General features: G+C 43.9%; 1 protein-coding gene across 4 annotated transcripts in view, besides 4 other annotated features; it reads left to right on the top strand.

The window, feature by feature from the left end:
* Window positions 333-932: an enhancer, noted in NCBI's record as "H3K27ac hESC enhancer chr5:171711446-171712045 (GRCh37/hg19 assembly coordinates)". NCBI's record gives its function as "activates a minimal SCP1, AML or CMV promoter by ChIP-STARR-seq in primed H9 embryonic stem cells {active_cell/tissue: H9 hESC(primed)}" and the evidence as "EXISTENCE:reporter gene assay evidence [ECO:0000049][PMID:30033119]".
* Window positions 933-1533: an enhancer, noted in NCBI's record as "H3K27ac hESC enhancer chr5:171710845-171711445 (GRCh37/hg19 assembly coordinates)". NCBI's record gives its function as "activates a minimal SCP1, AML or CMV promoter by ChIP-STARR-seq in primed H9 embryonic stem cells {active_cell/tissue: H9 hESC(primed)}" and the evidence as "EXISTENCE:reporter gene assay evidence [ECO:0000049][PMID:30033119]".
* Window positions 933-2017: a biological region, named in NCBI's record as "H3K27ac hESC enhancer GRCh37_chr5:171710845-171711445".
* Window positions 1108-2017: a silencer, noted in NCBI's record as "silent region_16620". NCBI's record gives its function as "represses an Ori minimal core promoter by ATAC-STARR-seq in GM12878 lymphoblastoid cells {active_cell/tissue: GM12878}" and the evidence as "EXISTENCE:reporter gene assay evidence [ECO:0000049][PMID:35858748]".
* The window catches only part of UBTD2 (ubiquitin domain containing 2), a 74472-nt gene continuing 52368 nt past the window's right edge, over window positions 1257-23360 (top strand). For 2 of the 4 annotated variants that reach the window (NM_152277.3, XM_047417876.1), the window contains exon 1: window positions 1610-1778. In NM_152277.3, the coding sequence (NP_689490.2) occupies window positions 1709-1778 (70 nt within the window). In that variant the 5' untranslated portion in view covers window positions 1610-1708. Of the gene's footprint in view, window positions 1374-1609; window positions 1783-23360 lie in introns of those variants that run through there. The other 2 variants (XM_047417875.1, XM_017010022.2) reach the window with 2 other exon arrangements.

Here is a 23360-nt window from a genome sequence, read left to right as displayed (position 1 = left end):
ATGAATACAGAGATCTAAATCTTTGTATAATAGCTTGATCTATTTCTGTGAGCTAGATTTCCAGATGTGGAATAATCCCGAGTCAAAGGATATGAACATTTTTAAGGCTCTTGATCTGCATTGCCAAATTGCTTTGCAAAAAAGATTGAACCAATTTACACTCCCACCAGCAATGTATGAGAATATATTTAAATGCAAATCCCAAGCTGCAGAGCATCTCTTTCTTAGGTATTTCAACTTAAAAAATTTTTTTTCGTGCTAAGCAAAAGCTGACCCAGGATGTTAAAAAAAGAAAGTCTGATATAAAAATGGAGCAGATAGTTAAAACAGCTTCTTAGGCAGAAATAAGCTTTAGAAAGTCCCAAGCAGGATGATAACAATTTTAAGGCATCATAGCACGAAGCACAATTCTAAAGGGACCATTAACAATTTGGCTGAGATTGGAAAAGTAACCGCCAAGAATGTTGGGCGTGGTCAATGTCCCAAATTCTAGATTCGAAAAGGCAGGGTGTTTCACTCATTTACACTTCACTTTGGCCTAAGGACGATTTAAGATACCCAAAGGCAGGATCTTGATAAGTAGTATTGTTTGAATCATTAATCCCGTGAAAATGAAAGAAACCCACGCCCCCTGAACTAAGGTCAGCGTTTATCTCTTCTTTCCAGGCGTTCCATCAGGACGCCTCGCCTCTAATCTCAGTTTGGTTTGCCACAACCACTGCCTCCACCCCTAATAATGGGGCCCCATGATTTTAGGGAAGACGGGGGTGGGCAGGCAAGAGGAAGCCCAGATTCGGGGTACCAACCCACGGAGCGCCATACAAATTCAAAGGGCGCTGGGACCTCAACGTTCGGCCAGGACACTCTCCCCCGAGCCCCCGTTATTTGGGAAACCGCCCCGTCCCCGCCTGCGAGTCTTCCACGACTACTTCTCGGTTCCCCCGTGCGACCCGCTTCCACCAGCAAGAAGGAGCCGACGGCCGAGGAGCCAGGAACTCGATTTCGCCCCTTCCCACTCCTCTTTTCTCACTTTTGTTCGGCTTTTTCCTGCTTTCCCTCCCTTCTTCCCTCTCCTTTCTTCTTCCCGTCCTCCCTCTCTCCTCCTCCCCTCGCCTCCAGTCCTCCCCCCGCCTGCAGTCCTCCCCCCACCTAGCCCCCTGCGTCCCCTCCCCCGCCTCACCCTCGCCCCGCTCCGCTCGCAGCCCCGCCCGCAGCCAATCAGAGCGCGGCCTCCGGTGGCCCCGCCCTTCTCCGGCGATTCCGGGCGGGCCGGGCCGAGCCCAGGCCGTGGGTGCGGAGGGCGGCGCCGCGGGCCGGGGGCCGATGGGTCCTGGCGGACGCGAGGCGCCGGCGCGGGGCTCGCCTGGACTCGGGTGTGCGGGGCTGTGAGGGGGCGAGGCGGGCGCTGCGGCCCGCCCGGGATGGGCCAGCCCTGGCCTGGCGGGGCTGAGCCGAAGGCGAGGGCGGCGCGCGGGCCAGGCCTGCCGGGCGGGCGGCCCGGGGGTTGAGGTAGAAGTGGGCGCGGAGGAAGGGGCCGAGCCAAGGCGGTGGGTGGAGCGGCGAGGGGGGCGGAGGCTGGGCCGCGGCGGGCGAGCGGAGCGGCGCGCCTGTCCGGAGCTCGGCGGTGGCGCCGGAGGAGGCTGCAGCGGCGGCGGCGGCGGGCCCGGACGAGCGTCCGGAGGTGGCGGACGAGGCGCCGGGGGCCCCCATGGGCGGGTGTGTGGGCGCCCAGCACGACTCCTCGGGCAGCCTCAACGAGAACTCGGAGGGCACCGGAGGTAGGTGAGCGCCAGGGGGCAGCCTCGGCCCCCCATTGTTCCCGGCCAGGCCCGGCCACCTGTCCCGACCCCCGCGGGCCGCGCCGGGCCCCCGCGCCCCTTTGTCATCCCCTCTTCCACGTCATTCCCCGCGCTCCGCTTCCGGCTGTCCTGCCAGCCGCGGGGGTCGCCCCTTCCCGCCCCAGCCCTGAAGAAAAGTCCTCTGAGCGCCGGGGACGTAGCCCTTGGCCTCGCCGACCGCCCCGCTCGGCTCGGGGAAGTCGGACCCGAAGCTGCCCTTCTGGCCACCTCACTCCCTCTCCAGGCCGTTTAATTATTGAGGATCAGGATGGCGGCGCCGGGGTTGCAGAAAAGCGAATTGATGGCGGGGGGAGGGAGCTTGATGCGTTCCCTCCGACGGGCCCCGCCACATCTTTCCGCACCCTTCCTTGTTCTGTGGAGTTGGCTGGTCTCAGCTTTCCTGAGTTTCAGATGACAGCTGCCCCGGTTGGTTCCAGATTGGCCATTTAAACCTGCGAGTTTCTGGAGCTCGGCTGGAGGAGTCTCCAGTGGCCGCAGGCATTGTATTAAGGAGGGGTGGGGAAACGGTCTTCCCGGGTAAAACGTGGCTCCTAGCTAGAGCTTGGGGGTGTTAGGCCGGTGTGCTGTCGGGGTGGGCTAATCACATTCCCATCTGTCTTACGTAGAAGGAAAATATGTAGGATAAAAGTACAAGTGCAGTTGGACCCTGACTTACCCCACCCAGTAAGATCAGTACTTTAAAAGTTTTCTAACACGGGAACGCACTCCTACTTTATAGTAAAAGCGTGCTGAGGATAGGTATTTTAATTCAATCAGTAGTAGTTGTAGTATGGCAGTATAATAATAAAATTAGTTCTATCTTTATTTAAGTGACCTTTGGTTACGTCCATTCTGTAGAATATTTTAGTGATAAACAGCCTTTAGGCAAAGATGACAGCGTTGGTTTGATTTGTGACCTAATGTTAGCTGCCTTAAAATGTGCATGTCTGTAAATTTTTAAATTGTTTGGGTATGGGAGGGTTTACAACTTTTTCGTAGCATACTAACATTTAGACCAGTTGCTTGCCCTGTCACTTAAGCTCTCTTCACAAACCATGTACACCTAAGTTTTTTGGCTAATGGATTTCCTGAATTCCATGATGGTTAGCCATGCCACTTTATTAAAATCTGTGGGTATCCTGTATGACTAAATCCTGGGTAAATAACTTGAGAACTCAGTGGAAGTTGTCTTGAAAAAGTCCATGAAAATGCTACTTTATAGTGTATTTTATGTCGTAGCATTATTACTGGCATATTGAGATCCTCAGTGACAACAAAGCAGGAAGATAAAAAGGGCACGATTTAAAACAGCCTTGGGTTAAGGTGAAATTGAAGGATCAAAATGAATCTTCCTCTAATTGTGTTGATCATTAATGATTCTGAAATATATTAGTATTTGTTATCGCTAGTGTTTAGTTTTAATTAAATTTTTTTCACACTCATTTTAATATTGTCATAAGCATTTTGCTCTTCTCCGTAATGTATGTGGATTAATTTATTTAAGCCTTTTGGTAGTGTGACTTATGACCAGACAGGCATTATTAATATGGGCTTTAAAAAGCGTGAAATCTTAGCTTTGGGTAATTTATTACCGGTGGTATCCAGTTAGATAGCTATAGTATCAGTTTCTTTGAGGACTGAGTTCTCTGGACCGTAAGCTCTGCTGTACATGAAGTTTAGAAAAAGGAACATTAACCACCAAACGTCTTTATTTTCTTTTGGAGAGAGGACATGGGCCCTGATGTAACTGGGGTCAGGGAAGAGGCTCTTGTACTAAAAGGATTATTTCTGGAATTTGATTATGGACGCTTTTATTCTCCATTATTGTCATGATAATTAAGAGTTAATTGTGGTTTAGTGAAATTAACTCAGGTGTGTTGCAGGTTAACATATAAAAAAAATTATTGCTTAATAAGTAGATTGTTGGGAAGGGAAAGACTTTTTCCTAAGGGTGTTGGCACAGATCCCTAGCTTTTCAAACATACTGTGGTAGTGAGTTAGGTTTGGGGGATGTGTGGAGGGCTTGGTTTGGTTTCTCGAGACAGGTTCTTGCTTTATCGCCCAAGCTGGAGTGCAGTGCCAGATCACAGCTCACTGCAGCCTTGACCTCCCAGGTACAAGTGATCCTTCTACCTCAGCCTCCCAAGTAACTGGGACCACGAGGTGCATGCCACCGCACCCGGCTAATTTTTAAAAAATTTTTAGTAGAGGTGGGTTTTGCCGTGTTTTTAATCTGAATGTGTTGGGTTATGAAAGTTGTTTTATCAACATGGAGTCTTCACATGCTTCTTACAACGGATTTAAACTTTCCATGACAGATTTAATTACATTCACCAACCAGGCGGGGTGGCTCATGCCTGTAATCCCAGCACTTTGGGATGATGAGGCGAGAGGATTGCTTGAGCCCCAGGAGTTGGAGACCAGCCCAGGCAACATAGTGAGACTCTGTCTTTAAAAAAATAAACAAAATAATTACATTCACAGTGTTGTGCAAACATCACCATTTTAGAATAGCTTGACCCTTTCTAAATATCAGCCAGCCTTAGTAAGAAAAAGATTTTAAAAAAATCTTTTGACCATTTGAAATACTATACTTTCCTTTTTCCCTCTGAATCCATCTCTTATGTATGCAAGTAATTATGTGTATATCAATAAAACCTTCCTTATTAGGTGTATTCTTTGAAGGAATTTGGGAGATTTTTATAAGAGACTGTAGAATATGGAAGTGGCTTAATTCACATTATAAGCTTTGCATTATCTATTGTTTTGGGATTAATTGTTGTATTTTCCTTTGGCATATACCTTGCCTAGAATTTAGTTCTTGAGCTCCAGCTACTTAGGCTTTTTTCAAATAAAAAAACTTTTATTTTTATATTTTGTTATTGAGATAGTATCTTGCTCTGTCACCCAGGCTGAAGTACTGTGGCATGATCATAGATTACTGCAGCCTTGAACTCTTGGGCTCAGGCAGTCCTCTGGCCTCAGCCACATGAGTAGTTAGGCTGGTTTTTTTTTTTTTTTTTTTTGAGATGGAGTCTTGCTCTGTCGCCCAGGCTGCGGTACAGTGGCACGATCTCTGCTCACTGCAGCCTCTGCCTCCCAGGTTCAAGAGATTCTCCTACCTTAGCCTCCAGAGTAGCTGGGATTACGGGTGCCCACCACCATGCCCAGCTAATTTGTTGGTATTTTTAGTAGAGACGGGGTTTCACCAGGTTGGCCTGGCTGGTCTTGAACTCCTGACCTTTAAGTAATCCGCCCACCTGTGCTTCCCAAAGTGTTGGGATTACAGGTGTGAGCGACTGTGCCCAGCCTTTTTTTTTTAATGCCTACTTTTAATCAAGACAGGTATGTCATAGAAGTTATGTAAGATTATTTAACAGTTCTAAGCTTCCATGCTCCTAGAATTTCCCATTGTTTTGACTTTTTTTTTTTTGAGACGTCGTTTCACTCTTGTTGCCCAGGCTGGAATGCAATGGCACGATCTCAGCTCACTGCAAACTCCGCCCTCCCGGGTTCAAGCAGTTCTCCTGCCTCAGCCTCCCAAGTAGCTGGCATTACCGGCGTGCGCCACCGTGCCTGGCTAATTTCATATTTTTAGTGGAGATGGGGTTTCACCGTGTTGGTCAGGCTGGTCTTGAACTCCTGACTTCACGTGAGCCACCTCGCCCAGCCTGTTTTGACATTTTCAGACATTCTGTATGGTTCTCCGCCGTACTAGAATGACATTGTGATGCTGGAGTTGGCATTTAGGACCTCTAGACAAGCCTTTAGCCATGACATTTGCTAAGGAATTAAATCCTTTATGATTTTTTGAAATAAATATGTGGGCAGAAAATCCAATAAAATTGTATTAATTGAAGACAACCAACAACCTTTTCTTTCTTCACCTCTTTAATGAAAGTATAGTGATGTACAAAGTAACTTCTCACTTTCTGAGTGTGTCATTTATTTTGTGCATTCAGTGATATCCTAAGAGAACTGACCGTGGTGGTCACAAGTTTCCAGGTTTACAGAGAATAACTGAATGCTGGACATTCATTCCTTTAGTCTCTATTCCAGAATGTCTTGAGAACATCATGGAGTTCTTTCAGATACCCATTTATAGCAGCCTTACAGACACCTACTCAGTGAGTAACAATGGTTTTTGAATAGCATCTACCATTTATCCAGTATTTATTATGTAACAGGTCCTAACAACCTTATGAGGTGGATAGTATCTCTGTTTCATAGATAAAGATTGAAGCCAAGAGCAGTTATTACGTTAGTGCAAAAATAGTTTTGTTCTTTGCCATTACTTTTAATTGCAAAAACCGCAATTACTTTTGCACCAACCTTTAATAACTTGCTCATCATCACATAGCTTATAACTGGCAGTCAGAGCTTAAACCCAGGGCTGCTATAAAGAATGCTAGTTTTCTGTTTTTCCGTAGTTTACTTTTTTTAAATTGTGACAAAATTGGCCAGGCCCAGTGGCTTACGCCTGCATTCGCACCACATTGGGAGGCCAAGACAGGTAGAGCACTTGAGGTCAGGAGTTCAAGACCAGCCTGGCCAACATGGAGAAACCCCATCTCTACTGAAAATACAAAAATTAGCCGGGTGTGGTGGTGGCGAGTGCCTGTAATCCCAGCTATTCAGGAGGCTGAGGCAGGAGAATCGCTTGAACATGGGAGGCAGAGGTTGCAGTGAGCCAGGATCACGCCATTGCACTCCAGCCTGGGTGACAGAGTGAGACTCGGTCTCAAAATAAATAAATAAAAATAAAATTGTGGCAAAACATATAACAATTACCGTCTCAACCATTTTTAAATGTGTAATTCAGTGGCATTGATTATATTCACAACGTTGTGTGGTCCTATATGTAGAATCATAAAATATTTGCCCTTTTGTTTGTGGTTTATTTACTTACCATAAAGTCTCCCGTGTTCATCCTGTTGTAGCATGTATTTGTACTCTATCCTTTTTATGGCTAAATAATATTCCATTGTATGTATATACCGCTTTTTTTTTTTTTTCCCCTGAGGCAGAGTCTCACTCTGCCTAGGCTGGAATGCAATGGTGTGATCTCAGCTCGCTGCAACCTCTACCTCCCAGGTTCAAGCGATTCTCCTGTCTCAGCCCTCCGAGTAGCTGGGATTATAGGTACGCACCACCACGCCTGGCTAATTTTTTGTATTTTTAGTAGAGACGGGGTTTCACCATGTTGGCCAGGCTGGTCTCCAACTCCTGCCCATGTATATACCACTTTTTTTTTTATCCATTCATCTGTTGGACATTTGGGCTGCTTCCAGATTTTGGTGTGAATGATGCAGCTCTGAACTTTGGTGTACAAGTGTCTGTTTTCAATCTCTGTTTCCAGTTCTTTCAGCTGGATAGGAGTGGAATTAATGGGTCATATGGTAATTCTGTGTTTACCTTTTTGAGAAACTACCAGATTATTTTCTACCACTTATTCTTACCAGCAGTGTATGATGGTTCCAGTTTCTCTCTTTTCACCATCACTTGTTATATTCCATTTTTTAAATTACAGCAATTCTGAAGTAGTATCTCTTAGTTTGATTTGCATTTTCCTGATGAGTAGTGGTGTTGAGCACCTGTTTTCATGTCCATTTATATATCTTCCCTGGAGAAATATTTATGCCCTTTGCTCATTTTTTGAGTTATTTGGCTTTTTTTTTTTTTTTGAGTGGTAAGAGTTTTATATATTCTGGATATTGAACCCTTATCAAATATATGATATGCAGATATTTTCCCCCATTCTGTGAGTTGTCTTTTCATTCTCTCGATGGTGTCCTTTCATGTACAAAGTTGTTGTTGTTGTTGTTGTTTTTTAATAGAGTCTCGCTCTGTTACCCATGATGGAGTGCAATGGCGTAATCATGGCCTACTGCAGCCTCTACCTCCGGGGCTTAGCCAATCTTCCTGGTTCAGCCTCCTGAGTAACTGGGACCACAGGTGTGCACCACCACAGCCAGCTAATTTTTAAATTTTTGTAGAGACGGGGTCTTTCTGTGTTGTTGAGGCTGGTCTCAAACTCCCGGGCTTAAGTGATCCTCCCTCCTTGACCTCCCAAAATGCTGGGATTACAGACGTGAGCCACCGTGCATCACCTAAAGTTTGTAATTTTAATGATGTCCGATTTATCTATTTTTTTCTTCTGTTGCTTGTGCTTCTAGTTTCAGTTTTAAATATAAAGTAACCTTTCACTGATGTATACAGAATAGATCTATAGCCAATAATTTGCAAATCTCACAGCTAACATTTGCTTTCTCAACAAGAAGTGGAAAACTTTTATTTCCTCTGTCTGATCTGATGAAAGGTTATTAGCAGTGAAATGGTTTATAGAAGTTGACAATTCAGTTAACAGGGTAGCTAAAAAAGAAAAAAAGTTGACAAAAGTAATTCATAAATGTACTTCGTCTTCTTTTTGTTCCCTTCTTTTTTTTTTTTTTTTTTTTTTTTTTTTTTGAGACAGAGTCTGCTTTGTCACCCAGGGTGGAGTACAGTGGCATGATCTCGGCTGACTGCAATCTCCGCCTCCCAGGTTGAAGCAATTCTCCTGCCTCAGCCTCCCGAATAGCTGGGATTACACGTGTGCACCTCCACACCGGCTAATTTTTGTATGTTTAGTAGAGACGGGGTTTCACTGTGTTGGCCAGACTGGTGTCGAAATCCTGACCTCAAGTGATCCCCTGCCTCAGACTCCCAAAGTGCTGGAATTACAGTTGTGAGCCACTGTGCCTGGCCATTTTGTTTCCTTTTTTTGTCTTCTTCCTTCCCTCCCTCCCTTCTCTCCCCCTTTCCCTTTCTTCCGTCTTTCCCTCCCTCCCTTTCTTTGTCTCTGCACCCCAATAATGAACCTTACAAATGAAACCATCTGTCCTAAGGAACATAATGCAACTGGCCCACATTACGGGGTCAGAAGGCGTGGGGGACTGATCTTCACCCCAGTTGATTCTCCAGCTCAGTTTGTAAACTGATAGTACATGAGTCACATCCAGTCAACAAACATGCTTTGTTTGGCCTGTATGATGTTTTTAAAAACATACCAGATAGAAGAATGGTTATGAAGTAAAGCTTGGAAGTGGTTGTAAACAATACATGCATGGGGTAATCGTTGGTAAAGTGGCTGCTTTGGCTTGAGCAGTGTGTGTGAGAGAAAATGATGGAGAAACTGGACAGGTATTGCGTAGGATGTTAGTGTGGACTCTTGAAGAGAAGAGCTTATCTGATGAAAAGAATGTACTGACTGCTAAATATCATTCACTAAATATTAGTTGAACCACTATTATGTACTAGTTACTGGGATTACAACAGGGAAAAAAAAATCTCTGCCCTCAAAGGAATTTACAGTCTAGTATTTTGCTGCTCAGAAAGTTTTGTCTCTGGAGCAGCAATATCGGCATCACCTTGGGAGCATGTTAGAAATTCAGAGCCTTAGACCTACAGAATCTGCATTTTCACAAGATTCTCAAGTGATTTCCTATGTACATTAATGTTTGAGAAGCATTGGTATAGGATTGCCTAAAGTGGGAAGAGACTAGGATGAGGAACCCATGAGGGAAAAAAATGGAATGAGTTGGTGATTTATTGGATGTAGGGGTACAGAAGAGAAAAGGAGAAGTAAAATAATACCATGTTTATGAACCCGAGTGACCAGGAATATTGAGGTAGCTTGGCAGGTTTTGTGGAATAAGAAAGATATCTGGGAAAAGCCCTGGTTTAGCATTCAGTATATGTTAAGGTGTAGGTGACAGAAGAATGTCTAAGTGGAGTCACCATGTAGTGTGGTACGGAAATTTAGATAGGGAACTCCTAGATGCTTAGGGCTATGATTGTGGATTTTGGGATCAGCTGGGGTGAGTTGACTGAAGGTGTAAAAGTGAGTGACTGCTAATAAGTAAGTGAAAGAGGAGGAAAATACTAAGAATTGAGTCATGAGAGTTTCATAAAGGGTGAAGCAATAAGAAAATCACCTCTAATCAGGCCTGACACATAGTAAGTAGGTACTTAGTATACTGAATTTTGTTGAATTGGGAAAGAGGGAAGCAGGTCTCTGCTTGTGAAACTAATCTGGTTGTATTTAGAACGGATCATTCTTGTAATTTCAGAAAATAATTTGGTTCAGTAACTTGGTTCTAGCTGTGGTGTGATACCGTTTGGCTGTGTTCCCACCCAAATCTCATCCTGAATTGTAGTTTTCATAATCTCCACGTGTCATGGGAGATACCCAGTGGGAGGTAATTGAATCATGGGGGCGGTTACCTCCATGCTGTTCTTGTGATAGTGAGTGAGTTCTCACAAGATTTGTGGTTTTATCAGGGGCTTTCCCCGCTTTTGCTCGGCACTTCTTCCTCCTGCCATGTGAACAAGGACGTGTTTGTTGCCCCTTCCACCGTGATTGTAAGTTTCCTGAGGCCTCCCCAGCCCTGCGGAACTGTGAGTCAATTAGACTTCTTTCCTTTATAAATTACCTAGTCTCAGGCAGTTCTTTGTTTTTGAGACGGAGTCTCGCTCTGTTGCACAGGCTGGAGTGCAGTGGCGCAATCTTGGCTCACGGCAAACTCCACCTGCTGGGTTCATGCCATTCTCCTGCCTCATCCTCCCAAGTAGCTGGGACTACAGGCGCCCGCCACCATGCCTGGCTAATTTTTTGTATTTTTAGTAGAGTTGGGGTTTCACCGTGTTAGGATGGTCTCAATCTCCTGACCTCATGATCCGCCCACCTCGGCCACCCAAAGTGCTGGGATTACAGGCATGAGCCACCGCGCCTGGCCTCAGGCAGTTCTTTATAGTAGCATGAGAACGGACTAATACATAGTGTTTGCAAAAATTCTAGCTGTAGTTTGTTACTCATATCCTAAAACAAGGTAGACTTCTTAGGTATACAATTCCAGAATATACCAGTAGCCCTTTTGAGGTTGGTGTGGTTCAGGACAAACACATTCTCTGTAAGACTTTCTTCACCAAGAATGTCCAGTGTACTTCTTTCTTATGTATTTTCAGTGTCCATTATGTTCTACACATCATCTAACTGGTTTATTGAATTTTCTTATGCTTCTATTCTTTGGTTTGTGCCAATAGTAAAGAGTAAAACAGCCAGGTGCAGTGGCTCACACCTGTAATCCCAGCACTTTGGGAGGCTGAGGCGGGCGGATCATGAGGTCAGGAGATCAAGACCATCCTGGCCAACATGGTGAAAGCCTGTCTCTGCTAAAAATACAAAAATTAGCTGGGCATGGTGGCACGTGCCTGTAGTCCTAGCTACTTGGGAGGCTGAGGCAGGAGAATCGCTTGAACCCGGGAGGTGGAGGTTGCAGTGAGCCGAGATTGTGCCACTGCACTCCAAGCCTGGCGACACAGCGAGGCTCCGTCTCAAAAAAAAAAAAAAAAAAAAAAAGTAAAGCAAAATTGAGCATGAGGAGGACTGAAGATTTAGTCTCCTTGTATCCCTAGTGTGACAGTGGAGGTGAAAATCCTTCATATTTTCTGGGTCGGTGAGCTCTGGGGCTTTATGAGAGAGGTGCCTAAAATTTCATACCACTTTGGCAAGAGACTTTTAGGACATTTACATGATACAAAGCAGAAGGCAGCAAATTTTACTAGGAGGAGTGGAGTTGTAGGGAGGGGACCAAAAAGAAAATGGGCAGCAAGAAGATATAGGTTGAAAATACAGTGGTACTCTGGGTTGGCAGGTATGAGAACCTAATATATAGGTCAAGGAAGCTACAGTCGGAAAATATTAGACATGAGGAGAGCTGAATCCTCTTTGGGAAAAGTTTTAGCACTAGAGTTTACATTAAAAATTGACATAGGCCATTGTAGCTGCTTCCTGATCATCTACCTTCCGTTGGGCTAGTCCCACTCCATTTTCAATTTTCTATCAATAAAGGATTGGAATTTATGTTGGAAAGCCTTTTTTTTTTTTTTTTTTTTTTTTTTTTTGAGACGGAGTCTCACTCTGTCGCCCAGGCTGGAGCGCAGTGGTACAATCTCGGCTCACTGCAACCTCTGCCTCCCAGGTTCAAGCGATTCTCCTGCCTCAGCCTCTGAAATAGCCGGGATTACAGGCGTGTGCCACCACACCTGGCTAATTTTTGTATTTTTAGTAGAGATGAGGTTTCACCACGTTGGCCAGGCTGGTTTTGAACTCCTAACCTCAGGTGATCCACCCGCCTTGGCTTCCCAAAGTGCTGGGATTACAGGTGTGAGCCACCATGCCCAGCCAGAAGGCATTTTTAAAAAGAATCTTGCAGTGGGCATTATTTGAGGATGTTTTCATCTCCAATTTAAATTTATTTAGGAATCAGTTATTAGTGCTGCATTTTATGGACAGAAGCTTTAATCCATTAGACATGATAGCAATTTTTACTCTTCTAACTTTTGATAGCCCTAGTCTATAATGCCTCTTCTTTGGACAGATTTTTATTTTTATTTTTATTTTTTTTTTTGAGACGGAGAGACGGAGGCTTGCTGTCTCGCCCAGGCTGGAGTGCAGTGGCACGATCTTGGCTCACTGCAACCTCTGTCTCCTGGGTTCAAGCGATTTTCCTGCCTCAGCCTCCCGAGTAGCTGGGACTACAGGTGTGCGACTACGCCCAGCTAATTTTTGTATTTTTAGTAGAGATGGGGTTTCACCATGTTGGTCAGGATGGTCTCAATCTCTTGACCTTGTGGTCCGCCTGCCTCGGCCTCCCAAAGTGCTGGGATTACAGGCGTGAGCGACCGCACCTGGCCTCTTTGGACAGATTTTAATAGATGGGTTTTATTTTTAAATCTGGCTGATTTTATTACTGTATATGCAAAGCTTTGGCAGTACCTTCTTAGTACTACTTTACCCAGGTGAGTCCTCTAATGAGAATGTTAAATCACTAGTAACAAAATTTTGCCTTTACATTGATGAATTAATTATCTCTTGTGGCTTTTGACTAAAACACATTCTTATCTTGTTGCAGGAATACATTAGGTTTATTTAGTTTAAGCAACATAATCAAATTAACCGGACATGATCAATTTGCTGATTTAATGACTCTCATTTTTTCCTTACTGCAGACCACCTGAGTGGTTATCTTCATTTGGGGGGCCACTGCACCTGCTTCTCCCCATGCCCCTCATCCCTCGCATCTTTCCGCTTCTGCTTTTCTGGCAGTACTAGGCTGCCAGCAAGCTTTTCTTGAGTCACTGGTAGTTCAAGGACCATAGGCTGAGACTTTACTAATGCATATGTACTTAAAGATGCATTTGTGTTGGCCAAGAACAATCAGCATGTATTTGTCTTGCATCAGCTACTTTGACATGCCGTCAGCAAGAATCAAGTTTGGTTTTTAATATATCCGTATATTGAGCTGAGCGGTTAAATACTGCTGAGTGTACATTGGGTGTTGTGATGCCTATTTTTGCATGTTTGCAGTGAAACTTAGAAGTTTCCATTATTGCTCTGTTTTCTGAAGTGGAATTTCTGTTGAAGTTAGACATCTAAGAAAAATGAAATATTTACATGTGAAAATCATTCTAAATGAATTTTATTTGAGTGTGAGGTCATAATTATATTTACATTTGCTCAAAGCTTGACTAAGTAATGAATTAGTGACTTGGGCTTTTCTCATTGAGTTCTTATCCTCACAGTAAAACCTTTAAGTTTTTTTTGCATTTATTGTAGTGGGCTTTTAGGTATAAGCAAGGTGAGACTATTTCTTTGCATTGGTTCAGATCATTTCCATGCTTGTGGGCTATGTGACAGTACCAAAGGAGTGGAGTAACAAATAGTTCAGTTCATTTAATTATGAATCTGCCTTCAACTTAGGGCAACTACTTTATTTCTTGAGTTAAGATGCTTCTTCCTGAAACTTTAAAAAATAGCCTCCATTATTCCAACTCCCAGCACTTGACGCTAGCTGTAATTAGAGATGTAAATAAGGCCTGCTGTATATTAAGTACCTTATGGCCTACTGGAGGAATCATACATTTAAGTAGAACTTAGGTAAAATTTAAAAAGTCTCTAGAGCAATGAATATTATGTAAGTTCAAGGAGGAGTGGGGGGCAGGGTCAGAAAGCATCACTGAAACAGTGATACAAGAAGTTGGTCTTTTTTTTTTTTTTTTCTTTTGAGGTGGAGTCTAGCTCTGTCACCCAGGCTGGAGTGCAGTGGTGCGATCTCGGCTCACGGCAAGATCTGCCTCCTGGGGTCACGCCATTCTCCTGCCTCAGCCTCCTGAGTAGCTGGGACTACAAGCGCCTGCCACCACGCCTGGCTAATTTTTTTATTTTTAGTAGAGACGGGGTTTCACTGTGTTAGCCAGGATGGTCTTGATCTCCTGACCTCGTGATCCACCAGCCTCGGCCTCCAAAAATGCTGGGATTATAGGTGTGAGCCACTGCGCCCAGCCCAAGAAGTTGGTCTTAAAAGAGGATTAGATGAAGAAAAGGCAGAGAAGGGCATCATTCTGTATGTAGAGGAAATTACTTGTACAGAGATACGAAAAAACATAGCATTTAGGGGGATTGCTAAGAAGCTTGTAGAGGAGATAGGTGAAATGTGAAGTTATTAAGATATGTTATTAGATTTGGGAAGACAGGATTGCCATAAGTAGACCAAGTTGTGAGACTATATTATAGGTGATATTAGTGAAGTGGTTTAAAATTTTTGTTTTTTGTGCTTCTAACAGACTAATTCCCATGTAATGCTGCATTTTGCAAGGTTATTTTATATAAAATTCTAATGTAGTAGGTTATTATAGTCTAACAGAGTTTTATTCTGTTACAATTTTAATGCTACAGGTTGGACATCCCTAATCCAAAATTAGAGGATTTCAGGTTTTCAGATTAGGGATACTCAGTATGTGTGCTGCAAGTATTCAAATCTGAAAAACTCTAAAATTCTAGGCTGGGTGCTGTGGCTCACACCTGTAATCCCAGCACTTTGGGAGGCTGAGGTAGGCAGATCACGAGGTCAGGAGATTGAGACCATCCCAGCCAACATTGAAACCCCGTCTTTTACTAAAATACAAAAAAATTAGCCTGGCGTGGTGGTGGGCGCCTGTAGTCCCAGCTACTCGGGAGGCTGAGGCGGGGGAATTGCTTGAACCCGGGAGGCAGAGGTTGAAGAGCCGAGATCGCACCATTGCACTCCGGCCTGGGCAACAAGAGCGAAACTCCACCTCAAAAAAAAAAAAAAAAAAAAAAAATTCTAAAATTCTAAATACTTCTAGTTTCAGAACTTTTGAATAAGAGCTACTCAGTCTGTATTATCACAGATTAAGCATAAGAAATGTATTTAAATTAAAAATTAGGCAGGCCAGGTGGTAGCTGTGCCTGTAGTCCCAGCTACTGGTGAGACTGAGATGGGAGGATCTGTTTGAGCCCATGAGTTCAAGGCTGCAGTGAGCCGTGATTGTGCCACTGCACTCCAGCCTTGGTGACAGAGCAAGACTCTGACTCTTGTTTTTTTGTTTTTAAATTGAGACAGAGTCTTGCTCTGTCGCCCAGGCTGGAGTGCAATGGCGTGATCTCGGCTCACTGCAACCTCTGCCTCCTGGGTTCAAGCAATTCTCCTGCCTCAGCCTCCCGAGTAGCTGGGATTACAGGCATGCGCAACCATGCCCAGCTAATTTTTTGTATTTTTAGTAGAGACGGAGTTTCACCATGTTGGCCAGGCCGGTCTCGAACTCCTGACCTCATGAACTGCCTGCCTCGGCCTCCCAAAGTGCTGGGATTACAGGCATGAGCCACCGTGCCTGGCCTACCCTGACTCTTAAAGAAAAAAAAAATGTGTTTAACTTTTTTTTTTTTTTTTTTTACATGCACATGTATATGTTTGTTACAGAATCAGTCTGTGTCTCTTAGTTCCCAATTTTCTGGCATATGGAAAGAGTTTGGTCTAAGATTCTTCAGACCGCTTGGGTTTTAATCTTGTTACGAGAAGAGGCCTCCATTAGCTGTGTGCGACTCAATTTCTTTCATTGTTGAAAGGAGTGGATGGATAGACCATCTTTACCAAGGTTACATCTAATTCTTTTTTTCAAACTTAATTTTTTTTTTTTTTTTTGAGACAGGGCCTCACTCTGTTGCCCAGACCGGAGTGCAGTGGTGCAGTCTCGGCTCACTGCAACCTCCGCCTCCCAGGCTCAAGTGATTCTCCTGCCTCGGCCTCCCAAGGAGCTAGTATTACAGGCGCACACCACTACTGCCTGGCTAATTTTTGTGTTTTTAGTAGAGATGGGGTTTCACCGTGTCAGCCAGACTGGTCTCCAACTCCTAACCTTAAATGATCCACCTGCCTTGGCCTCCCGAAGTGCTAGGATTACAGGCATGAGCCACCCCGCCCCGCCCAAACTTTTTAAATGACAATTTTCAAACATACTGAAAAGTTGGAAGACTCTAGTACAGAAACCCTTGAACGCCTGTCACCTATATTAAACAAATGATATTTTGTCATATTTATATATCTTTTTTGATATATATTCCTTTGTATCTCTTTTTTTTGCACTTAACTGTTTGAAAGTGAATATAGACATCATGACACTTCAATGTGAATCTCTTAAAAGTAAAGCTGTTCTCCTACGTAACCACAGTACCATTATCACTGCTAAGAAAGATTATTATATCTTCATGTCCTCTGAGATCTAGTCCATAGTCCAAATCCCTTAATTGTCCTCAAAATGTCTTTTATAACTGGGTTTTTTTCCCCAAAATCAGATCTTATCAGCATTTAGACATTGCATTTGTCACTTCAATCTTTTAAAATCCAGAACTCCTCCTCCTCTTCTTCCCTATGACATTCTTTTTTTAAGATGGAGTCTCACTTTGTTGCCCAGGCTGGAGTGCAGTGGCATGATCTCTGCTCACTGCAACCGTTGCCTCCTGGGTTCAAGCAATTCTTCTGCCTCAGCCTCCTGAGTAGTTGGGGAATACAGGTGTGCGCCACCATGCCTGGCTAATTTGTCTATTTTTTGGTGGAGACGGGGTTTTACCATGTTGGCCAGGCTGGTCTTGAACTCCTGACCTCAAGTGATCTGCCACGCCCGGCCGACATTGACTTTTTGAAGAGTCTTGTAGAATGTACCACAATCTGGATTTGTCTGAATGTGGCCTTGTATCATTTAATGTGTGCTGTAGCCTCTGTTTTCCCTGGAAATCAGGTAGATTTAATTCTACAGAGGACGGTTGAACTATTTTCCAGGCTACAGTAGATCCACACTCTGCCCACTTCTCTTTTTCTACGTTCCAACTAGGATAATCTTTCATTATTGACCAACTCTGAGCGTTTTTCTCATTTTTCTACCCAGAAATAATCCTGCCGTTTTCTGAACTTCCTTAGTACTATTCTTATAGTACTTATCCTCTCCACTCTACTTAAAAAAAAAAACTTCTATCATGGCTATTTTTATACATTACTTATCTTCGCACAATGTAAGCTGCATTGGACCTGGGGCAGAGACTGGTTCTCTCATAATGCTTTAGGATCAATTATCATTTGTGTGGAACACATCTTTGACTTTATAATGGCATTGGAGAGAAAATAATATGCTCTTAATAGAAGCCTTTCTTAGTTCTAGAACAGAAGCTTTGTTAAATAGGACCATATAGTATAATGAAAAGATCTGGGAGTCAGAAGAACCCTTGAGTGTTCCACTCATCTTCCGTTTCTTTATGACCTTAAATAAGTCAGTTGACTTCCCAGCTTTCGTTTTTAAGTATGTTAGATGAAATCAGTAGATTCAGACATTAACATGGAATCTTCTTTTTTTTTAAATCTGACATTGAACACTAACATAGCCTCAGCATTTGATTTCTTTATATTTTATTTTGATGGTGTGGAATCAGTAAAGTCCTGGTACACAAATTTTTAAACATGATTTAGAGTCTCATAAAGTTCTGTAGGAGATTTTAAGTTTGAATCACCAACATCATCAGCTGTACTCAGAAGTTAAACACGTCATGTCAAGCAGTGTTATGACTTAAGTTATATTTTCTCCGAGTATTGTTTATTTACTTCGTGTTGATGAGAGCGTATACTGAGCAGATGCATCTGAGCTTGCTGTGACATTTAGTGGAACCTAGACATCCATGTACTGTGTTAATGTGCTCACTTGTACAGTTTTACGGGACTGGATGTATACATGCCTGTATTAACAAAAGACACCATGCAGACCTGTGGTTTTCCCAGTCAGTAACACATTTGCAGGAAGTTTCCTAAATTTCATATATGCGTAAAGATGGCAAGAAAAGCTTCATTCCAATGCCTTTACAATCATTTTGACCTGGTGGCGTAAGCTAACATGTCTCATGATGGTCTTCATATTAGAAACTTAACATTTGTGGAACTTTTTATTATAGTTCTTAAAAATAGCAAAAATAGGTTTTACAGAGTAATCTCAGTTGTGTTTATGGATCTCTGAAGCAGGTGTTTCTTTTGTTCTCTTGGGTTCTTTGGAACCAGTTTTTAAAATCATACGGTAAGATTCTAGGAAAAAACTTTTTTTTTTTTTTTTTTTTTAAAGAGAGGCTCTCTGTTACCTAGTGGAGTGCAGTGGTGTGATCAGAGTTCACTGCAGTCTCAAACTCCTGGGCGGTCAAGCAATCCCCTGCCTCAGGCAGCCTCTGGGGTAGCTAGGATTATAGGCGCACACCACTGCACCTGGCTGATCTCTAAATTTTTTTTGTATAGATGGTGTCTTGTTTTGTTGCCCAGGCTGATCTTGAAATCCTGGCTTCAAGTGATCTGCCCTGCCTGGGCCTCCCAAAGTGTTGGGATCACAGGCATGAGCTACTGCAGCCGGCCAACTTTTGGCTGCTTAATGTACTGTAAGTGAAGTTGTTTGTTTATGATGTGAACCTTACCTCTTAGCCCATTTGAAGCTGGAAATGCAACTTAGCACTATTAGGCCTACTCTCCCTATCTCTCACCTGACATTACTTTTCTCATTCCTCTCTTGGGCATAAAATATTACATCTCTTCACCTCCAATTGGAACAGACTTATGTTTAACCGTAGGAAATTCAGACAGGAAGTACTTCATGGAAAAGGGGCCGGTGGATGAGATGTGTTTGACAGTTTGGCTGTGGCTTGTGAAGTAGGAACCAGAATAGATGGCATGCCAAGAAGGACCTGGTAGGTAAAGTCTGGTGCCTGCTCTGCTGTGTTTTTAAAAATCTGACTGTTGCTTATGAAGAATGGATTAGATTCAGATGAAACCAGTGGGATACCGATGCAGTCTTTACATCCAGTGACTCACACACAGCTTCTTCCCATCTTAGGGCTTTCGTGCTGTTTCCTTTGCTTGGAATCTAAACAATGTGTGGTGCTGGCCAGGTGCGGTGGCTCACACCTGTAATCCCAGCACTTTCGGAGGCCGAGGCGAGTGGATCAGCTGAGGTCAGGAGTTCAAGACCAGCCTGGCTAACACGGTGAAACCTCATCTCTACTAAAACAAAAATTAGCCGGGTGTGGTGGCACACACCTGTAATCCCAGCTACTCGGGAGGCTGAGGCAGGAGAATTGCTTGAACCCGGGAGGCAGAGGTTGCAATGAGCTGAGATCATGCCACTGCACTCCAGCCTGGGTGACAGAGCAAGACTCTGTCTCAAAAAAGAAAAACAAAAAAAAAAACAATGGGTGGTGTTTTTTATTACAGTTCTTAAAACTAGCATGCCCCTCCCACTTGCTTTAAAAAAGTTGCTTTTAGAAATTATTTGTTTATTTATATGCTTCCCGTCTTCCCCCAGAATATTGTAAGCACTGTGAAGGCAAGGGTTTTGTCTGATTTGTTCTTTACTATATCCCTAGTATCTGGTATAGTGCCTAGTACATCTGCAATAAATAGTTGTTGCTCGAGTAAATAAGTGAAATAATGAATAGACAGTTGTGGCTCTTTTATCATTTGGAGAATGAAAAGTTTACTACTCAGTGGCCAGGCACGGTGGCTCACGCCTGTAATCCCAGCACTTTGGGAGGCCGAGGCGGTCGGATCACAAGGTCAGGAGATCGAGACCATCCTGGCTAACACAGTGAAACCTGTCTCTACTAAAAATACAAAAAATTAGCCGGGGTGGTGGGCGCCTGTAGTCCCAGCTACTCGGGAGGCTGAGGCAGGAGAATGGCGTGAACCCAGGGGGCGGAGCTTGCAGTGAGCCAAGATCGTGCCACTGCACTCCACCAGCCTGGGTGACAGAGCAAGACTCCGTCTCAAAAAAAAGTTTACTACTCGGCTTTAATTATTTCGTTTCGGTTTTGGGTGAAATTATTTTATTACTGACTGGTTCCTTAGTTGTACAGAAGCCTATTATCTTTAGAGAGACTCTTCATGGTAATTAACTCAGATTCTTATTTGCCTGGTGAAAGGAGGCAGTGATCTAATTTGCTTGTTAAGAGCTTCCTACTTATTTTGTGTTTGTGTATTTTATTCTGTCATCCTTAGCAAACCTATTGGTGACTTGACTTGCTTTGGAGGTGAACAGAGTATTAATTGCATGTATAGCCTATTCAGCCCAGTGGACTTAGGTTGCCCTTGGGCTGATCTGTGCTTATGTTGAATGAAGCAGAAATTCAGGCTTCATGTGCAGCCTATACTGAGTACTGTATGAATAGGAAGTAATGACAACAACTTTTAAGAATTCTCTGAATTTTTTTTGTTTTGTTTTCATTTGTTTGTGTTTTTTTTTGAGATGGGGTCCCCCTCTGTCTCCCAGGCTGGAGTGCAGTGGCACAACCACAGCTCACTGCAGCCTTGACCTCCTGGGCTCAAGCCATCTTCTCACCTCAGCCTTCTGAGTGGCTGGGACTATAGGCGCATGCCACTATGCCTGGTTAATTTTTTTATTTTTTGTAGAAATGGGAGTCTCACCATGTTGCCCAGTTTGGTCTCTTAACTCCTGGGCTCAGGTGATCCTCTTGTCTTGGCCTCCCAAAGTGGATTACAGGCATGAGCCACGGTGTGTGCCTAGCCCCTTGGGTTGTTTTGTTTTTTTTTTTTTTTAATTTTTTAATTTTTTTTTTTGAGACGGAATCTCGCTCTGTTGCCCAGGCTGGAGTGCAGTGGCACTATCTCGGCTCACTGCAACCTCTGCTTCCTGGGTTCAAGTGATTCTCCTGTCTCAGCCTCCCAGGTAGCTGGGATTATAGGTGCCACACACCTGGCTATTTTTTTGTATTTTTAGTAGAGATGGGGTTTCACCATTAACCAGGCTGGTCTTGAACTTCTGACCTCAAGTGATCCGCCCGCCTCAGCCTCCCAAAGTGCTGGGATTACAGGTGTGAGCCACTGCACCTGGCTGGGTTGTTTTATTTTAAGCAGACATTTTAGAGGATGCTGGAGGAGGAGGAGAACAATCTGACGACAAGTTATTGCTGGTACTGATTTTTAGAATACTTGTCGAGGCTGCAGTGAGCTGTAATTGAGCCACTGCATTTCAGCCTGGGTGATGGCAAGACCCTGTTTCAAAAAAAACAAAAGTAAATAAAATACCAAAGACTAATTTTATTTCAGGGGTCAGAACTATTCATCCTTTATCTTTTTATTTGAAACCACATTTCACCATATAAAAATTAGAGCCTAGGTGTGTTGTTGCACACCTGTAGTCTCATCTACTCTGGAGGCTGAAGCGGGAGGAGTGCTTGAGCCCAGCCTGGGCAACATAGCAAGATTCCATCTCAGAAAAATTACACACACACACACACACACACACAGAGGCACGTGCATTGTATCTTGGGGGGAATTTATTACTTAAGATTTTGTGGTTTTTTTTGAGATGGAGTCTCGCTCTGTCCCCCAGGCTGGAGTGCAGTGGCGCGATCTCGGCTCACTGAAGCTCCACCTCCTGGGTCCACGCCATTCTCCTGCCTCAGCCTCCGGAGTAGCTGGGACCACAGGCGCCCGCCACCGTGCCTGGCTAATTTTTTGTATTTTTAGTAGAGATGGGGTTTCACCGTGTTAACTGGGATGGTCTCGATCTCCTGACCTCGTGATCCGCCTGCCTCAACCTCCCAAAGTGCTGGGACTATAGGCGTGAGCCACCGCACCCGGCCCCTACTCAAGTTTTTAAATATAACTTTATATAACATACAATTTAAACTTTATAACATATGTTTATGCCTTTATATTACATGCTTTGTATTATGAGATGTTTAGTAATACAGATATATTTCACAACTACTGTCCTATTTTAACTTACGAAAGTCTCCCTTCCCAACTCTTGTTATTTTCACAACAAACGTACCCTGAATACACCTAGTGACATACTTGAACTTGTATGTAACTATCTCAACAGTGATTTATAAGCAGTGGGTACATAATAAAATACTAGTTGAGGCCAGGTACTGTGGCTCGCACCTGTAATCCTAGCACTTTGGAAGGCTGAGGTAAGCAGATTGCTTGAGCTCAGGAGTTCAAGACCAGCCTGGGCAACATGGCGAAACCCTGTCTGTACAAAAAAATTAACTAGGTGTGGTGGTGCGCACCTGTAGTCCCAGCTACTTGGGGGGCTGAGGTGGGAGGATCGCTCGCCCGGAGGTCGTGGCTGCAGTGAGCCACCAAGATCATACCACTGCACTCCACTCTAGGTGACAGAGCAAGACCCTGTCTCAAAAAATAAAACAACAAAAAACTAGTTGAATGCATATGAGGGTATCTTATTGAAGTTACTAATAGCTTTTCAGTTGTTTAAGCTTCACAAATACAATTTATAGACGTGAAAAGAACTGTGATTGTTAACGATACTTTTTTTTGAGATGAGTCTTGCTCTGTCACCTGGGCTGGAGGGCAGTGGCGTGATCTTGGCCTACTGCAACCTCCACCTCCCGGGTTCAAGCGACTCTCCTACCTCAGCCTCCCAAGTAGCTGGGACTACAGGCACGTGCCACCACGCCTGGCTAATTTTTTTTGTATTCTTAGTAGAGATGGGGTTTTGCCTTGTTGGTGAGGCTGGTCTCGAACTCCTGGCCTCAAGTGATCCGTCTACCTCGGCCTCCCAAAGTGCTGGGATTACAGATGTGAGCCACCATGCCTGGCTGTTAATGATAGATTTTATTGTACATTTTTATTTTTGAAGAATCTTCATATACATTTTCTTGTTTTTTTTTTTTTTTTTTTTTTGGTGGATCTGTCTCTGTCACCCAGGCTGGAATGCAGTGGCACGATCTCAGCTTGCTGCAACCTCTGCCTCCCAGGTTCAAGTGATTCTTCTCTCTCAACCTCCCAAGTAGCTGGGATTACAGGCATGTGGCACCATGCCCAGCTAATTTTTGTATTTTTAGTAGAGATGGGGTTTCACCATGTTGGCCAGGCTAGTCTCAAACTCCTTACCTCAAGTGATCCACCTGCCTCAGCCTCCCAAAGTGCTGGGATTATAGATGTGAGCCACCGCTCCCGACCACATTTTCTTGATTCTTAAAAAGACCCTTTGACTTTAATGAAGACTGATGTTAATATTGCCATCTTATAGTGGAGGAAACTGAGGCACAGGGTCTCAGTTCTGATTTTGATCTGAAAGAGAAATAAAAAGAGTAGCCAAAACTGTAAGCTTTGT

The sequence above is a fragment of the Homo sapiens genome, chromosome 5 (assembly GCF_000001405.40).
Source record: "Homo sapiens chromosome 5, GRCh38.p14 Primary Assembly".
Lineage (NCBI taxonomy): Eukaryota > Metazoa > Chordata > Mammalia > Primates > Hominidae > Homo > Homo sapiens.
This window is presented reverse-complemented; position numbering and strand designations above follow the sequence as displayed.